This window comes from Homo sapiens, chromosome 3, assembly GCF_000001405.40.
Source record: "Homo sapiens chromosome 3, GRCh38.p14 Primary Assembly".
NCBI classification, from domain to species: domain Eukaryota; kingdom Metazoa; phylum Chordata; class Mammalia; order Primates; family Hominidae; genus Homo; species Homo sapiens.
In genome coordinates, this window is record NC_000003.12 from 118,799,281 (window position 1) to 118,817,977 (window position 18,697).

The 18,697-nt window shown below is 41.9% G+C and overlaps 1 long non-coding RNA gene across 1 annotated transcript in view, besides 2 other annotated features; it reads right to left on the minus strand.

Annotated features, from left to right (window-relative positions):
• LOC105374060 (uncharacterized) overlaps positions 1-11,553 on the minus strand; it is a 302,423-nt gene extending 290,870 nt beyond the window's left edge. The window contains exon 1 of the long non-coding RNA NR_135547.1: positions 11,427-11,553. This is a non-coding gene — a long non-coding RNA (uncharacterized LOC105374060). The remainder of the gene's footprint in view (positions 1-11,426) is intronic.
• Positions 9,567-9,776: an enhancer, noted in NCBI's record as "active region_20291". NCBI's record gives its function as "activates an Ori minimal core promoter by ATAC-STARR-seq in GM12878 lymphoblastoid cells {active_cell/tissue: GM12878}" and the evidence as "EXISTENCE:reporter gene assay evidence [ECO:0000049][PMID:35858748]".
• Positions 14,410-14,469: an enhancer, noted in NCBI's record as "active region_20292". NCBI's record gives its function as "activates an Ori minimal core promoter by ATAC-STARR-seq in GM12878 lymphoblastoid cells {active_cell/tissue: GM12878}" and the evidence as "EXISTENCE:reporter gene assay evidence [ECO:0000049][PMID:35858748]".

Below are 18,697 nucleotides of genomic sequence, written 5' to 3' on the forward strand. Positions count from 1 at the left end.
ATTAGGCTGCATCAATCAATGGGAGAGAGATGGAGCAGTCACTGAGGTGCAAGGAAACCAGAAGAGTGTGATGTCCTCGAAGCCAAGTGAAGAAATGGTTTCAAGTAGAAAAGTATAACCCAACGTGTTAAATGTGATGATAGCACAATTAGAATGGGAGCTGGGAACTGATCTCTGTTTTTAGCTGTGGGGAGGGCATTGGTGGTCATTATGAGAGTAATCTGGCTGCAGTGGAGGGAGTGAAAGTCCTGAATGGAACGGATTTGAGACAGAAGAAGAGGAAGTATAGAGAGCAGGCAGAAATGATCCAAGTAGCCATCACAGAGTGCAGGAGACAATGAAGAACTAAATGGATGTATCCCCCAATTAAAGCAGTTGAACTCAGCACACATAAAATGGGCTCCATATTCCTACTCTTAGAGGAAGGAAAGAGCTGCTCATCTCTTTCTCATAAGGTGATTCATTTTTAAACTGCTTCATCTTGTCAGCCTACCTGGCCTCCGAATCTAAGTCACAGTATTTCTGCTCAATTTGACAAACTCATCTGTGGCAGGCTTAGATTTCATCTCCAACCATTTTTGTAGGCCATAATACAATTCCACACCCCAAATGCCTCAGGTCTCCACCCAATCAATAAATTGCAGTTAATGTCCTTAGGGAAAATGTTCTTTGATGAGTGTCAGTGTTAGCAGCCAATCCAAGCCCATTAACTTTCACATCTGGAAATAAGGTAAGGAAAATGAGGCTGATGTCTTCAATTTAGTTTTGATTTATCAGCATCACAATAACCTGACTCAACTACATACAATTCAGGGTGATTGGATGAATTTGCTGAGTAGAGGCCCAGGACTGAACTAATAAGGAGGTGGAAGGTTAGGATCCAGGACTATTGGCAGAGTTGTTTCAAAGGACCAGGGGTAGAGTCATGGAGCAAGAATAAAAGGGCACCAAGTAAGACGCGCAGAGGCTCAAATCCCAGAAAAGCGATCAGGGCTGATGTAGCTCCACATCACTCACACTTCCTGTGACTTTTGATCCTTGCTATCATCTAAAACAAACAAACATTTCTATAATTTAATCCCCTTAAATTGTCTTATTGTCTATTTTTTTCATTCAAGTCCCTTAGCAGGCAATCACCTCCATTTCATAGATGGAAAAACTGAGCTCGAAGAGGGTAAAATACACAGAACAGTTAACAGTGAGAGCAGGTAAAAGAGCACGCTTTGTTTCAGTTAACAACATATTCCCCTAAGGAAGCAAGGAATTGGCTATTTGCAATTAACCAGATTTGGGAAGTATATATATGTAATGGGGTGAAAAAAGTTTTATCAGCTAACAACACAATTCTCCTTATGGAGAAAATGGCCCATGGTTAGAAAAATACCTATTTATGAAATAGCAGATTTTGATTTATCCAGAATAATTCAAAATTTTGCCTTTTATCCGAGGGAAATTATTAATACTGTCCACTTTAACTTTCAAAATTGTTCCAGTTCCTAGGATATAGTCACCCTACTGACTGACTCTCTCTCTCTCTCTCTCTCTCTATCCCTCCACACACACATACACACCCCACATATAAGCTACCTGAGTAGAGGCAAGTAGGAAGGTGAGATCCTACCCAAGAGTAGCGATTAGCCAAACAGCTCTGCCTTTCATATAAACATGAATAGAAAGAAGAACAGAAGAGAGAAAAGAAACAAGTAAAATTCAAAGAAAGTAGGCAGATAATGCATGGCTGGGGTACTATGTTGGGATTAATGGTCAAATTCTCTTCCCAGTAGCAAGGTGGCCAAAGGACTTTTAAGAACAAGGATATATGATTTTCAATTTAAAATTATTTTTGTTGCTACAATATAAAGCCCTCCCTTTCTCCCTCTTCAGTCAAGTCTACCATATATGCAACTGCTTTATGTAAGATTTTTTTTAATACATAGAAATTAAGGAAACCTGAGATCACAGCCAGGGCTAAGTGACAGAGAACAAAAAGAATACACAAACGACAAATGATAATGCAAAAACTAAAATACAGGGAACCAGAAGGTTAGAGCCAAAGGTGACCACAAACATGTAAGTCCCCCAGGAATTCTCAGATTCCTTGGCCTGGTGTGGAACTTTAAGGACAATGTCCTATAATTCTGAAGGAGCAGAAACACCCAGCTCATGCTTGGGCTTCATAAATAGTGAATGCAATAGGGATTGACAGTTGTTGCTTAATCATAAAAGACAGTCAGTGTTCCTTAATTTTATTCAAAGTTAAACCTATAAGTATAAATGTATTCACCAATGTATTAATCTGGAGTCCAGGGTGCTGCTTCTACCATGAGCCTGTTGTTAAGAGTCCTCTATTGTCTTTCTTGTATAAACCACAGCCATCATGTAACATCTGATTTCTTTAGATGAAACAAAAAAAAATCTTAATGCAGAATTCTCCTAGACTTTTATGATTTAACTTTTTGCAGATGTTCTGTCCATTCCTAATTTGATAACAATGCTTATTAACAACTTGTATTTAAATCTTTCCAAAGAAGCTTAGCTTTCATAGAAATGCTTTTTTCTTGCATTAATATCCCATCTATTTAGAGGAAGTTTACAGAGCTCAGCTCCCTTCCATAATTGGCACCAAAAGCCTACTGACGTACTCGGGTGCTCCGTGTGCTACCATAGGCCCTCACAGAAACTATCTGTGGTCACACGCACATCTAGTTTAAACGGGCACCCCTGGCCCACTACCATGGGGCTTGTGCCTGCTAAATAGCCTGCTTGGCTGCACACCCATCTCCCAGAGTACCTGCACCAAATCAGTGTATGACTGCCATTTACTCACAGTTTCTGGTGTCTCACCGGCATCATGCCAAACAGTCTGTATGGCTGCCATCAGCCACTTGATTAACATGTGCTCACCTTGCCCTTGTGCCAAGCATTGGCACAGCTGCAGCTGCTGACGAAGGGAGGGGTGAGTTGTGATAGAGGCCAGCTTCTCCATCTCGGAGGCAGAGCAAGAAATGCTGTCAGCCCCCTCATCCCAAAGACAGAGTAATCAGGGCTGGGAGGGGCTCCCCTGGGTGCTGCCTGCATTGCCTACCTAATTCCCACAACTCATGGGGGGTATAAACACTATAAGAGGTGTGTTCCACCACTGTGGGGGGCCCCTGGGCTCTCCTCTGGGGTCCCATCGGCTGCTCATGTTCTACCTTCTGACAGATCACAGGGTGAGCCGGAAGTGGAGCAGCCTCCTCCTTCTCAGCATCAGACCAAACGGGAGTGCCCGGCCTGGAGGACAGGCTCAAGGTTGCATTCGGAGCTGTTTCCAACGCCTGCTCCAGGCTGTTTATCTGAGCCTCTAAGTGCCCTGCTTGCGCCTGGAGGTCCTTCACCCCCAGGTTTTGCTCCAAGCTGTGCATTTGGGCTCCCAGGCACTCAACTTATGCCTGAAGGTCCCTTACCTGTGCCATGTCCCACAGAGACTGAGCATGTACTTCATGTAGTATGGTCAGAAACGCCTATCCAACTCTGCCGGCGAAGGTGCATTTCTTCTTGGTGCTATGAGCTTCCAGCTGCTTCAGTGCCTTCTCCACACTCGTGGGAGACCCGTCCACTGCCTCCCACATTTCCACTGGGGCCCACCCAAGCAGCACTTCTGCCACTGGGTACCACAGCCCATGTTGCAGCCACACAGCCAACCTGGGAGCCCCAAGGGCTGAAGACCCACTCACCTCATCCTGCCAACGACTATGCCAAATGTCATGCTCAGGGTCAGGCTCCAGTTCCAGCTGAGAGCTGAGGAGAGTGGGTGGATGTGGGGCAGGGAGCTGGAAGAACACTCAAGAGACAGCAGGTAGATGAGACACGGCTTTATTCAGCAGCCCCTTCACAAGGTCAATATTACATTTATACACTACACAGACAGTAGTGGCTGAGAGCCAGGTGGTGAGCTTCTCTATGTTATGTCTACATGGCTATGGTTATATAAGACACGGGACTGGCTCTTGCACCCCAAACCCGCTGAGTCATCTAGGCTGTTTACCTTGGCCATGCCTGCTGCCCTATACCTGCTTGGCTGCAGCACAGCCATGTTTTTCACAGTGCCCCATTTTTTACAGAGGAAAGAGCAAGCTCTGTTATTCTTGGGAGCTTGGTAAGTGGAGGTCACCTTCTAAAAAGCTTCCTTTGGGTCTACACATAATTTTCCTGAAGGATTAAACAGCTTGCCATTGCAAAGTACATGGAACTCTGGCCCTGCCTTGCTCCCTCTAGCAAATGCATCACTTTTGTTTGTTTGTTTGTTTGTTTTTTGAGACGGAGTCTCGCTCTGTTGCCCAGGCTGGAGTGCAGTGGCACAACTTGGCTCACTGCAACCTCCACCTCCTGGGTTCAAGCGATTCTCCTGCCTCAGCCTGCCTCCCGGGTAGCTGAGATTACAGGCATGTGCCACCATGCCTAGCTAATTTTGTGTTTTTAGTAGAGACGGGGTTTCACCATATTGGCCAGGCTGGTCTTGAACTCCTGACCTCGTGATCCACCCGCCTCGGCCTCCCAAAGTGCTGGGATTATAGGCATGAGCCACCTTCCAGATCCCTGTGATCTCCATTCAGTGGGTCCAGAGGCCAGAGAACCACCTCTCCTCGTGGAAAAAATTCACTCCCAATCCTAACTGAATGATCATACTCAGTGACAGGCTTTGACAGAGGCTCAAATTTCAGTGAAGCCCCATAAAAGAAGCTAGGCTGTACCAAAAGCCAGACAGAAGAGTTCCAGGAGATTCTCAACAAAAAGTTGTAACATTTAGTGGTAATGACTAAACGTATGTATTCAGTGTAAATTAAGACTCTCTTCTTCAGCTGGAAAGGGCAGAGAGCTAAATCTAAGAAGCAGTCAAAGCAAATTTTCTCCTAATCGGAAAAGCACAATCATGGTGAAGTAGAGCAGGTAAATGGAGCTAGTGTGTGTAATTGGGATCGTTTTTCTTTTCCTGCAAACTATGAGAAAGAAAAGGTGGGCATCTGAGGAAAAGGAAGCTAAGACTTCCAGAAGATGACTTTGTTTCTTAACTGAGGACAGGTTAAGCCTTGATAATTGTCTTGGTAAAGAAAACTGAAGATACCTACAGCCTGGGGAAGGGCCATTTAAAGGGATTTCTGATGTCAAATTCTAAAGTGATAACACTATTTCTTTCAAGTTATGGACTTTTAAAGGACTGATATGAATCAATATAAGTAGTTAATAAGCAAGTTTTATAGCTGTACCTAGGTTTCATGTGTCTTTAAATTTTACTGATCATATGTATTCTTCATAGAGTGTTTAATAAATTCCACATAGTGGGGAATTTAGTACAAAAGATTATTTTTTTATAAGGGCCAAATTGAGTAAAATAAATATCCCATTGGTTCTGGTACTCTGCCCCTCACATATGGGCCTTCTAGTCCTCCGTGCCTGAATCAGTTTAATCAGAGACCTAGCACTGCAGGTAAACCGGCAGCAGACTGAAAACTATATGGAGTATTGCTAACTGACAGAAGGTAGGAGATGTAAAAAGTGACTCAAATTGAACTGGATACTTTGTTGATTTGTTTTTATATTTAAAAAATACTAAAAGAAGCAAAGAAATGAAACAGAAGTTGCTGTTTGGGGACTGGGGAACAAATACACAAATTTTGTTTTACCTGCCCCCAACCTTGCCTGACAAATGAAGACTTTGGTTCCAGCCTAGTATTTGTGTTTTGAAGTTGGAAGGTAGATATTAGTGGAGTCTCCACACTTCCCTCTTCTCTTGTTCTCCCCCAGCTCAAATTCATAGCAAGAAGGCCCATGCTGAGGCCTCTGCAGGAAACCATCAACAGTAGCTGCTAATGGGAAACCTAATGACACTTTAATGGGACTAGTAAAGCTAAGAGAGTTGTGCAGATAATATTTATAATAGAAGAAAAAAGAAACTATGCACTAAGCGGAAACAGGAGCTGGCCAGCCTGGCTGGGAACTGTTAAGCCCAATAAAGAAAAAGCTGTAGTCCTAGAGAAAGGACATTTATCACTCCTTTGAAGTGTTCCATTACATCCACTGTAGCTGACAAACAGAGAGAGTAATAAGGCAACATTCACGGGGCACCATGACATCTCACAGGACACCTGTGCTGAGTAACAAGCAGTAGACTAAGGTTTTTCTTCATTTGAATTTATGAAACAGTTTTAACCAATAGGAAATAGGCTGGGTGTCCAAGACCTGGGCTAAATCCAACTGAAACAAAACATGTTGTCAATCGAATTTAAATATGGCCATTGTAGCAGAAGAGCATGGTTCTACAAATCTTTCCCAAGCCCCATTACATCACCTGGTTTTACCAACTAACCCAAATTCATCTTTATAGACTGAATATTTCCATCCCACTCATTCTAGTGGTAATAACAAAGCTGAAACTCTAAAATGATGTTTCTCCAACTATAATCCCCAGGTCAGTAACATCAGCATCACCTGGGAACTTGTGAGAACTCCAAATTCTTGAGCACAATCTCAAGCCTCCAGAAAATCTTGGAGGTAGAACCCAGAATCTGTAGTTCAACAAGCCTTCCAGGTGATTCTTATACATGCTCAAGTTTGAGAAGCACTGGTCTGTAACACTGGATCTCACACTTAGCTGCATATTGTAATCTTCTATAAAACCCTTTTTTAATGCTGATGGCTGGTTCCTAATTCCTCTCCCACCTCCAGAGATTCTAATTTAATTGGCACCAGGTGCACCTTAGATGTTTAATTTTTCTTAACTCTCCAGGTGATTCTAATGTGTAAGAAAGCATGAAAACTACCAGAACATACTCAGAAAATGAAAGTGAACAGCCAACTTGTCATACCTCGGTCAAAAAACAGATAGATAGTCAACAGATATTCAGAGCCACCGATTATAAAGAGTACTAGAAAAGCTATACTGAGCAACTCAACCATGATTTTCCTTGAGTATACTTCATCAAAAGAGAAAATAAATTTGCCCACAAAGTCTTAGGCTTGATTTAAGTATAATTTGAGAATTCATGTTTTGTTTTTGCTGGTAGGGAGCTCAGAGGTTAATTTTGTCTTTAGGAATTTTGTCTCCCCTTTTTAAAGTGCCCAACTCCTGCCTTTTATATCTATTTGAAAGTTCTGTGGCCATGCTTCTCACACTAAAGTACACATGTGGCCAGGTTATGCCATGGTGTGCTGTAGGATCCAGGAAGCCACGGGTTAAAGGTTGCTCATATATCTGGCAACTCCAATGTATTCAAAGCTAGGTAATTTAAAACTTTGTAATATTCATACAAACATTGTGAATTGGAAGGCAACATTCGATCATTCTGGGTTATCCCCACAAAGCCTCCTAAGAACAGTGCCCACCTATTCTCCTCTGCCATTAGGAGCACCGCACTAGGCAAGTTGAAAAGACGCGAACATTGTATATATGAGCCTTATTGAAAACTGCCTGAAATTATTATGGAAGAAAGAAAAATATAAATAAATAAAGAGACCTCTTCTATGCATTTGTTCAAAAACAGTTATTAGTATCTCAATATCTCCTCTCCTTCAACCACTGTTCATTCTTTGGATTATCTCAGACTCCAATACTCCATAAAGAGAAAGGAGCTATTCCCTATTTGATATGATTGATAGATTGATACATATGATTCTACTATGGGAGACATTCAGGACACCTCCAAAGTATTAATAACAATAAAGTTAACCCCTTGTCTTTCTAAATGAGACCTGACTTTGGGACTAGTTCCAGGTGCATATATCTGTCTCTGGGAGGACGATGATGGGAGCAGGTCAGAACTTAGTGGTAGAGACACAAGGAAACCCAGCAAGAAGCAAAAAAGAAATAGAGTTGAGTCACTGATGATCAAGGAAATGCCAATCAAAACCACAATGAGATGCCACCTTACTCCTGCAAGAATGGCCATAATTAAAAAACCAAAAAATAATAGATGTTAGCATGGATGCATTGAAAAGGGAACACTTCTACACTGCTGGTGGGAATATAAGCTAATATAACCACTATGGAAAACAGTGTGGAGGTTCCTTAAAGAACTAAAAGTAGAACTACCATTTGATCCAGCAATCCCACTACTGCGTATCTACCCAGAGGAAAAGAAGTCATTATACTAAAAAGATACTTGTACATGCATGTTTATGGGACCACAATTCACAATTGCAAAATTATGGAATCAGCCCAAATGCCCATCAATCAACGAGTGGATAAAAAAAATTGTGGTACATATACATACAATGGAATACTACTCAGCCATGAAAAGGAGTGAATTAATGGCATTCACAGCAACCTGGGTGGAACTGGAGACTATTATTCTAAGTGAAGTAACTCAGGAATGGAAAACTGAACATTGTATGTTCTCACTCATAACTGGGAGCTAAGCTATGAGGATGTAAAGGCATAAGAATGATACAATGGACTTTGGTGACTTGGGGGAAAGGATGGGAGGGGGGTGAGGGATAAAAGACCACAAATTGGGTTCAGTACATACTGCTGATGTGATGGGTGCACGAAAATCTCAGGCATCACCACTAAAGAACTTACTCATGTAACTGAATACCACCTGCTACCCAAAAACTTATGGAAATAAAAAATTGTAAAATAGAATTTTTTTAAAAGTGTAAAAGTGTTGAAATTGGGATTCCAGGGAAAAACTTGTAAACATATATAAGGTAAAAGCTTGAGAAAACAGGGCATTCCCACCCTCTTTCACAGGAATGAGAGTAGAGAGTGGAGAATGAGTGACAAAAATCCAAATCAGGATTACAACCTCAAGGAAATATTGTCAACATTTTATACAGAATTTTTGTGCCACATTTACACATTTATAACACCCAAAGGGTCTATTGTCCAGTCTTTCTGCTATACTCCAGGTGAAAAATAGAACTCTGCTTTTCAGAGCTTTTACATTAAAAAAAGAAAAAAAAAAGGTAATAAAATTCCCCATAGAGTTGTCCCTGTCTCCTAGCTTTTTCTTCTTCACAACCAAGTTTGAGCTTGTGGAATTGGCCTTGTGGGGTGTTTTTTATTTAACTTTTGCTTTAGCAGTGGCACGCTGCACTGCATTTTGGGGACTTCTCACTTCTGTTGTGTTCCATTGAGGGCAGATGGCGGCACAGATAAGTGCAGCATCCCTTTGGTGTATCAATATTTTATGTAAATGCAATTTCTGTCTTTTCCGTCGGAAAAAAAATATATATATATATATAAAGCTCCTAACTATCCTTAGCATTACCTGTTCTAAGCAACAAAATAAGCATACCCAGAAAGTTGAGGAGGTGAGCCTCTAACCTTCCACAAACATCACATTTGAGCCAGAGCATGTTAGTACCAGGGAGAAACTCAGTGACCCTATTCTAACAATAAAAGAATGGGGCACAGAGAGAAAAAAATGAACTCTCAGGACCACACAGCCAGTGAGACCAGAGTCCCAGTCGCTGAGTTAGTTTTCTTCCCACCCCCACCCCCACCCCGCCCCGCAATCTACCTCATCACGCCCCTGAAATGCCACAGAGCATAACTGGGCTGCAAGCTGCTGTTGCAACCAGCAAACAATGATAAAGGAAACAGAACAAAGCCTAACGAGATGGGAAGGATAGGAACGAAGACTTGACACTTGACAAGTGTGGAATGTTGATGCATACACAGGAGGCAACCAGTGGAACTGCAATAGGTCTTGACTCACAGGCAAGCAACACAAGCAGAGAGCAATAGCAGGGACAGAGAAGCCAAATGAGATTGCACAGGAAGCTCCAGAGGATGCAGGTGAGGGCCAGGCCCAGGGCAGAGACCCTCTTGCCTGTCTCCTGGTTTGATGCTCCTAGATAAGTCCAAGGTACAAGGCCTGGCACATGTGTTCTTGCACCCAGAGAGGTGGAAAGGACAACAGATTCTAGAATATATTCTAGCTTCTCTGTCCTCATCTGTAAAATTGAATCAAATACTCCTGCCAAGCAAAAATGAAGTGAGACAGATGAACTTCTTTGTAAATTACAAAGAAGGGCAAAATAGCACTTGTCTTTGTCAGTTAGGACTTCTATAAGAAAGTACCATAAACTAGGTGGCTTATAAACAACAGACATGTATTCCTCACAGTCCTAGAGGCTGGAGCACCCATCATCAGGGTTCCAGCATGGTCAGATTCTGGTGAGGGGCCGCTTCGGGTTGCAGGCTGCTGACTTCTCATTGTATCCTTACTTGGAAGAAAGAGGGCTATATAGAGCTCTCATGGGTCCCTTTTTTTTAGGGCACAAATCCCGTTCATCAAAGCTCCACCCTAGGCCAAGCCACTGTGGCTCATGTATGTAGTCCTAACACTTTGGGAGGCTGAGGTGGGAGGATCACTTGAGCTCAGGAGTTTGAGACCAGCCTGGGCAACATGGTGAGACCCCATTTGTATTTGCAAAAAATACAAAAATTAGCCAGGCATAGTGGTACATGCCTGTAGTCCCAGCTACTTGGAAGGCTGAGGTCAGAAACTGGCTTGAGCCCGGGAGGGGAAGATTGTAGTGAGCTATGATGGTTCCACTGCACTCCAGCCTCGGCAACAGAACCACGCCCTGTCTGTATTAGTCCATTTTCACACTGCTGATAAAAACATACCTGAGACTGGATAATCAATAAAGAAAAAGAGGTTTAATGGACTCACAGTTCCACGTGGCTAGGGAGGCCTCACAATCATGGTAAAGGTGAAAGGCACGTCTTACATTGTGGCAGGCAAGAAAGAGAATGAGAACCAAACAAAAGGGATTTCCCCTTATAAAACCATCAGATCTCATGAGACTTATTCACTACCACAAGAACTATATGAGGGAAACAGCCTCCATGATTCAATTATCTCCCACTGGGTACCTCCCACAACACGTGGGAGTTACAAGAGCTACAATTCAAGATGAGATTTGGGTGGGGGGACACAGCGAAACCATATCACTGTCAAAAAAAAAAAAAAAACAGAACAAAACAAAAAAAAAAACCCTGCACTCTCATGACCTAATCCCTCCCAAAGTCCTACACTGAAAGGCAAAAATATCTAGGCCTTTAGGGGATTTCTGATATAAAGTCCCCAAGTTTAAAAACAGAGAAAGTGCGCTGTGAAACAAGAACAAGCTTTGGAAACAAATAAAGCTGGGTTTTCACAGCAGCTGAGTGACCTTAGACAAATTACCTAACTTCTCTGAACCTCGTTTCATAGCACACATTAGGAAATTAATAAATTGCAACAATGAATAATAATAATAATAAATATGCTATGAATAAAGCTCTCTCTGAAAACCAGTCATCTCAGGGCCAGCAAAAATAAAAAATCATTTTCCATGTGTTGACTCTGTTACTGTATTAGTCCGCTTTCACACTGCTATAAAGATACTACCTGAGACTGAGTAATTTAGAAACAAAAGAAGTTTAATTGACTCACAGCTCTGCAGGCGGAGAAGGCCTCAGGAAACTTACAATCATGGCCGAAGGTGAAGGCGAAGCAGGCACTTTCTTCACAAGGCACAGGAGAGAGAAAAAGCGCAGGGGAAACTGCCATTTTTAAAATCATCAGATCTCGTGAGAACTCCCTCCCTATAACGAGAACAGCATGGGGGAACCGCCCCCATGATCCAATCACCTCCCACCAGGTCCTGCCCTCACACGTGGGGATTACAATTCAAGATGAGATTTGCGGGGGACACAGAGCCAAGCCATATCAGTTACCTATTTCAAATCCAATCCCAAATGGGCTTATCTAGATACACCTTTGTCCTGAAAAGATTTCCCTCTGTCCCCTTCTGACTATCCAGGTGTGGAAGACCAAATATCAGTGACAGTTTAATCTTCAAATCAAGAATAGAAATACAGCTAGAACAAAGTGAAAAAGAAAGAGAAAAAATATTCCATCAGAACCATCAGTTTTAACATTAACTAGCTAGCCCGAGAATCAAATATTCAATGCATGATTTTGGAAATTGTTTAATAATAACTTGAAATAATTACTTTTATTTGGCTTTCTTTTTATACATGCAAGAAATTAAATGTTCTAGTAAGTCAAAGAAACACAGCTGAAAAATAGCAAAAGGCATGTTGGATAGAAATGACAGAAACCACAGTTATCCGATCTGGATCAAAAATATTAAACAAAGAAAAAATACTCATTATTCTGTCAGCTTTAAGACATTTTCAGCTTGTTCAAACTGGAACACGTCCCCCTGTGGTCTTGTAAAACTCAGTGAATTGGAGTAAAGCAATGTAAGCGGTAGCTTCATCTTCAAAGATGCCATGTAAAATATACATATTAACAAGCAGGGTTGGTTTTTTTTCCTTTTGTTCTTACCCCTTCTGTTTGTTTCTCTGCTCTGTTCCAAGTACTGGCATTTCTTAGTAGTGTAAATATCCACTAGAGTTTACATTTTCCTTCATCCACAATCATCTCCCAACCTTGAAGTTTTCACCACTGCCCTCTTGGGTTCCTCCAGCGGGGACTGAACTTCCAGAGCCAATAAATTTTTCGAACCTACATCTCTTTCCTCAAAGACAGTACCTGGTAAATAATGCCCAGGTTAAACTGCTTATATTTAAAAAAGCAAATAAGCCAAAAAGGCATGTTTGTGGGTGTGTGTCTTCATGATTCTCTCTGTAAATTTTTATTGAATAACTGATTAGACCACAAACAAGCAGAGTCGTAGATCTGAAACAAGGATCTAATGTATAAATTCAAGATTTTACATACACATTTCAAAACTGGAGAGTTACATACACATTTCAAAATTTGGGAGTTCCACTACACCATACTATTCCCATTTTGGTGGATTGCTGTAGATAAGATTCGGGATTCCATTCATCTCATCCTGACCACACACCATCCTTTGCAAAGGGTAGGTGGATGGAGTCAGGAAGCAGGACAAATGTGAAATAAGAGATAGAAGTCCTGGTGATGTCAGCTCTTTGAATTTTAGCTTCCCTTTTCCTTCCCACCTATGGCTATTGAGGTATGTCTCTCTAAAGGTAAAGTAGCCGTCAAGGGAGTGGTGACACTCAGTATTTCATCCTTTAGAGTACAAATTAGCAACCATTTTTGGAGACTCCAAAAATTATGAAAATCTGTATCTCCAGCATTTAGTACAGTGTCTGGTACATTGGAGACCCCCAAAATAATGCCTGTTTAAAATAAAAAGGAAACATGCTGAGAGGCCAGAGGGAGCAGACAACCAAGATGTTGGAACCTAGGAAATGGACAAACCCACCAGAGTGGGGCAGTGGACCAAGCTTTTAGAATTCGACAGCAGAAGTGTATGCAGGTGTTGTGAGCATCATAAGAGTTTGGCATGGGCCACCAGCAGTCAGACAGGGGTCAGGCCTGAAAAAGACTCACTGCAGCTAGAGGCTGCCTCATGGTGTCTGAGCACCCGGGATAAGACTCCAGGAACTAGGTAAGCACCCTGCTGTGTAGGCCAGGACTTGGAGTAAAGCTCTCATTGTACAGCTGCTGAAAGAAAAGATAGTGTTCCTTAAATCTCCCTGCCTTTCCTGGAAACATAATTGGCCCTTGAGACCAAAGTGGAGCTGAACCTAAAACAACCATATTAACAATAAATACTGATATGGTAGTCACTGTGCTGGGTACTATTAAATATATTCACCCTATGAGGTGGGCACTATTATTAATCACCTCCATTTTACAGATGAGGAAATGGAGGCACAGAGCCCTTCAGTGCTTGCCCAAGGTCATGCAGCTAATAAATGGCACAGCAGGAATGTGAACCTAGGCAGCCTGGTGCCAGAGCCCATGTTCTTCACACCACATCTGCTTCCTTGTAGGACCCCTGGCTGGGGGATGCTGATGGGGGTGGTCAGAAAGCCTTCTGTACTTTCTTTTTTGTGTGTGGAGACGGAGTCTGGCTCTGTCGCCTAGGCTGGAGTGCAGTGGCGCGATCTCGGCTCACTGCAAGCTCAGCCTCCCGGGTTCACGCCATTCTCCTGCCTCAGCCTCCCGAGTAGCTGGGACTACAGGTGCCCGCCACCACGCCCGGCTAATTTTTTGTATTTTTAGTAGAGACGGGGTTTCACCGTGGTCTCAATCTCCTGACCTCGTGATCCGCCTGCCTCGGCCTCCCAAAGTGCTGGGATTACAGGCGTGAGCCACCGCGCCCAGCCTGTACTTTCTAAGCAGTTTCAATGAATCCAATTGCCTATACGGAGAATTCCTTGATGAGAACCACACTTTCAGATGTGCAGAATTAGAAAGCAGTGGAGCACAGAACCAAAGACTCATACGCAGGACTGCACAACCCTATAAGAACAATTCAGCAGGGAAAAAGCCCCAAAGGACCTGAGGTTTGCTCATGCAGTGAATTTAAAATTTGCGCATTATGACTCAGATGTGAAGAAATGGAGCTTAATTCCCCATACTCTCGAGCCCCCATTTCCATTTGCCTGCCCCTATAAAGCCACCAATCAATCACTTGTGGTTTAAAACAGTCTCCTTCAGGTGGATGTTCAGGGCCGTCAGGGGTATCCCCTTTATTGTTCTCCCTCCCTTCCCCCAGAGGGTGGACTTAGCTATTGTCCTAACCCTGGGGAAAGGAGTTCTGGGTGAGGAGTCCTGCCCCACTTACTCCTGGGGAAAAGCTTCTTTAGCCTGTCAATATTTCAATTAAAATTAAATAAATGAAAAATCAGTTTCTCAGTCACACTGGCCACATTTTAAGTGCTTTATAGCCACGTGTGGCTAATGGCTACCAGAATTGAATAGTACAGACATAGAACAATTTGTGTCATCACAGAATATTCTATTGGACAACACTGTGTGTGTGTGTGTGTGTGTGTGTGTGTGTCTGGGTGTCTGGGTGTCTGGGTGTTATGTGTGTATTCTTGTCTATCTATAGTTTAGTTTCTTTTGAAAATAACAGACACACAATAAAACACATTTATAACAAGACGTTCAAAAGTCAAGTTAGAGATCCATGGTTTGCAGAACCAGGTTCTTCCAACTGGTCACAGTGGGATCTTTGAGCAAGCTACCTAGCCTCCCTGAGTCTGCTTCCTTGTCTTTAAAATAGAGAATAACACCAGTGCCACAAACCTCACAAGTGGTTGTAGGATCACACGAGATAATGCATCTAGAAGTACTTTCAAATTTTTTAGACAAAATTTAAATTTATCTAGTGCTATTCCTATTCTAATAAAGAATTACTATTGTATTTTAAAAGGAAAAAAGCTTGTAGCAGAACCCAGACTCATTATATCTCAGGTGCTAAAGGAATTTGCATCTGTATTTCAGAGCTACTCTGTTAGTATGATAAAATCACAAAGAACAGACATTGTATAAGAAGACTGAATATGGAATAACTCTTAAGTTTTTAAAAGGAAGAAAAAAATGGTTCTACTAAACTATAGAACAACACATTACTTATCAATTCTCAGAAAATTTAGTGCATACTTTATAAAAAATGATTTCAAAATATTCAAGACACAATGTATTTGTTAGACTTACTTAATAGGCTATTCATCTGCAGACCAAATAATTTAAAAAATAAAAAATAAAAATAAAGGCAAAAAAGAATTACTCACTAAGCTAAAAAACTTTAGGGAAATTGCAAACATAGTATGCCTTGATTTAAGCAAGATATTTAATACCCTCCAATATACCCTTATTGTTTGAATGGTGAGATGGGGACTGTATTAGTCCATTTTGCATTGTTATAAAGACCAAGACCTGAGACCAAGTAGTTTATAAATAAAAGAGGTTTATTTGGCTCATGGCTCTGCAGGCTATGCAAGCACAGCACCAGCATCTGCTTGGCTTCTGGTGAGGCCTCAGAAAACATTTGCTCACGGTGAAAGGTTAACAGGGAGCAGGCATGTCACACAGCAAGAGGGAACAGGAGAGAGAAGGGAAATGCCACACTTTTTAAACAATCAATTCTCACATAAACTAATTAAACGAGAACTCACTTATTACCAAGGGGATGGCACCAAGCCATTCATGAAGGATCCACCTCCATGACCCAGACTCCTCCTACCAGGCCCCACCTCCAATACTGAGGATCACATTTCAACATGAGATTTGGAGGAGACAAACGTCCAAGCTATATCAGAGACTAACGGCATGATTAGGTCTACTCATGTGTGTTTGAAAAATTACCCCAAGGTAGTATTAATTTTGTGTTCAAAGTTAGCTTGAAAGGGACTCTGGAGACTATTGTCCTTGGACTATTTATTTTGCATATTTTGACAAGAATGGATGCTCTCAAGGGAAGTCTTTGCATATGACAACAACATATAGCAATTCACTTAAGCTTCAGCAGAGCTGGCCTTTGAAGGGACACTCTCCAGATGGGTAGGGCAGGCATTCACCTCCATCTTGTTTAGCCTCACCTGTACATTCTCCTTGGGATGACTTTCCGTAATCCCCAAGTCCGCCATCACACCACACCCCAGCTCCCAGGATTACTTTTCTATGATGGCAATAAGACAAAGAACAGCTGGCAATGGGAAACAGACCACTGAGCAATGTAATGGAAGCCTACTACTGCTTTCCTCATAGTGGGAGACCACCAGTGTGGTAAGAGCACACAGACATACACACACACCCACAAATTAGTACCAGGACATTGTGTCCTGTTAAACTTACTACAACCATGCAAAGATCGATATTATTAACCCTACGTTAGAATTAAGGGAACTGATCATCAGAATGGTTAAGTAAATTGCTTAGGGCCACAGGGTCACCAGGCAGCACAACTGGGATTCCTGCCCTGGGTCTCCTAACTCCCAAGCTTCTAGTCTTTCCTCTACCGCACATCTGAACACAGCCGGGGACTGTCTTCACTCCCCACAATGCACCACTCTCTCTTTGTCCTTTCTCTGCCTTCCTCTTCTCTTTCTCTCATTCCCACTTTCTTTCCTTTTTTATTATCTGCTCTTTGAATTATTCCATGCCTCATACCTATTCAGGTTTAGGCAGGTTTTGTGCCACTAGATTTCTTAAGGAGAGGCTATGGGCTGATCCCTGCCTTAGAAAATAATGTTCATGTTCCTCCAAGAGCAAAACTGCTAGGTATCCCAAATACAGTTGGAAATGACCCAAATTTTAGTGTTTGTTCCATTTTCAACTCCATTGGGACAAACAATTGTCCTATATTTAAAACTGGAACTAGGGTGTGGAGGGTGTATATGTGTGTGTGAGTGAGAGAAAGAAAGAGAGAACATGCAAAAACCTCATTTCCTGATTTTATCATGGAAATTGCCAGGTCAATCATATTTTGTTCAATCAGCATTCACAAAGCATGACCTCTCTCACCCAACACACACCTACTATCATATACCAATAACCTCTATCTGTAGCACTGACATCTAGAACCTCAATATTATCATTCACATCTTGCATGTTCATTTTAACCTTTATAACATTCCTATCTGATAGGAGTAAAAAATGTTACCATTCCCATTTTGAGTAATCAATAAATCAGAGAATGCCAGTCATTAAATATATATGCAATTTTATTTCCAAGTCTCTAAATCTGGAGTCTCCTGGCTTCCAGGCCAGCTCTCTCTAACCTCACAATCCTCCTTGACAACACTGCTAGGAGGAAAACTAGGTCCCCTGCCTTCTTATTCGGGTGTTTTTACAGCTGAAATTCACATCCTTAAAAAGGAGGGAAGTTGACATGGAAATAATTTATTCTCCCTTTAAGTAAAACAAGGAAAAAAGGAGTAGGAAAATAAAAAGACAAAACCTCCTACCACTTCAAATGCAGCAAGATGACCAGCTTCATGCCTAACAGGGAAATAGTTATCTACAATTATAGAGAGCTAAGGAATCTAAGAGCAGAGGTCTCAGTGTTCCTCCAGCTCGACCCCAGCTCCACGCACAGAACCTCTGGCATGTGATGACATTAGTGACTACAATCGTCACTAAAATGTTCACTGAGCGCCCTCTAAGTTGCAGGTATTTTTCTTAGGAGTTTTGTATGTTTTCTCTTGTTTACTATCTACCACCCTAAAAAGGAACTATTATCATAGCATTCTACAGATGAGAAAAGACATTATTGCTTACCCTTAATTTTCATAATAGTCCAAAAAGATTGCTGTTACCATGATTGCCATTTTAGAGATGATGAACTGAGGCTCAGAAAGGTCAAGTGGCTTGCCCATGGTCACACGGGTCTTCTGATATGGAGCCTGCAGCTCCTTCACAGTGCATAACTCAGCAGCCCAGAAAATGCCTTCACACCCTCCTCCCATTTGACCATTCGTCACAACACATTTAAGATCAGACCCTGACGGTGACATTCTGCAAATAAGTTCAACATTGGGTGTTGTTGAATCTCAGGGAAGAAAGGCCAGCACTGACCCCTGAGGATATCCACAGTCAATAATTCAAAATGTAGGCATGAATTTGTCACTAAGCCAACTTAATCCTCAAAAAAAAAAAGAAGTTTCATAAGAAGAGAATCTTTAAAAGAGAAACAGAATTGATGGCTTAGGAAAGGTAAAGTTACGGAAACGGGTTGTAAATCCTGATCATAAATTAGGGCTGAAAGGAAGAGGATTTTTGATTCAGTCGCTGAGTAAACTGTCTTATTGGATACACTGGCACCACCTTGTGGTGAGAAGCAGGAACTCACAAAGTACTACCTGTTTGGCACCACGTATAGTAAAACATACCCTTGCTGTGGAGGTAAACAATGTTGGATACAAATC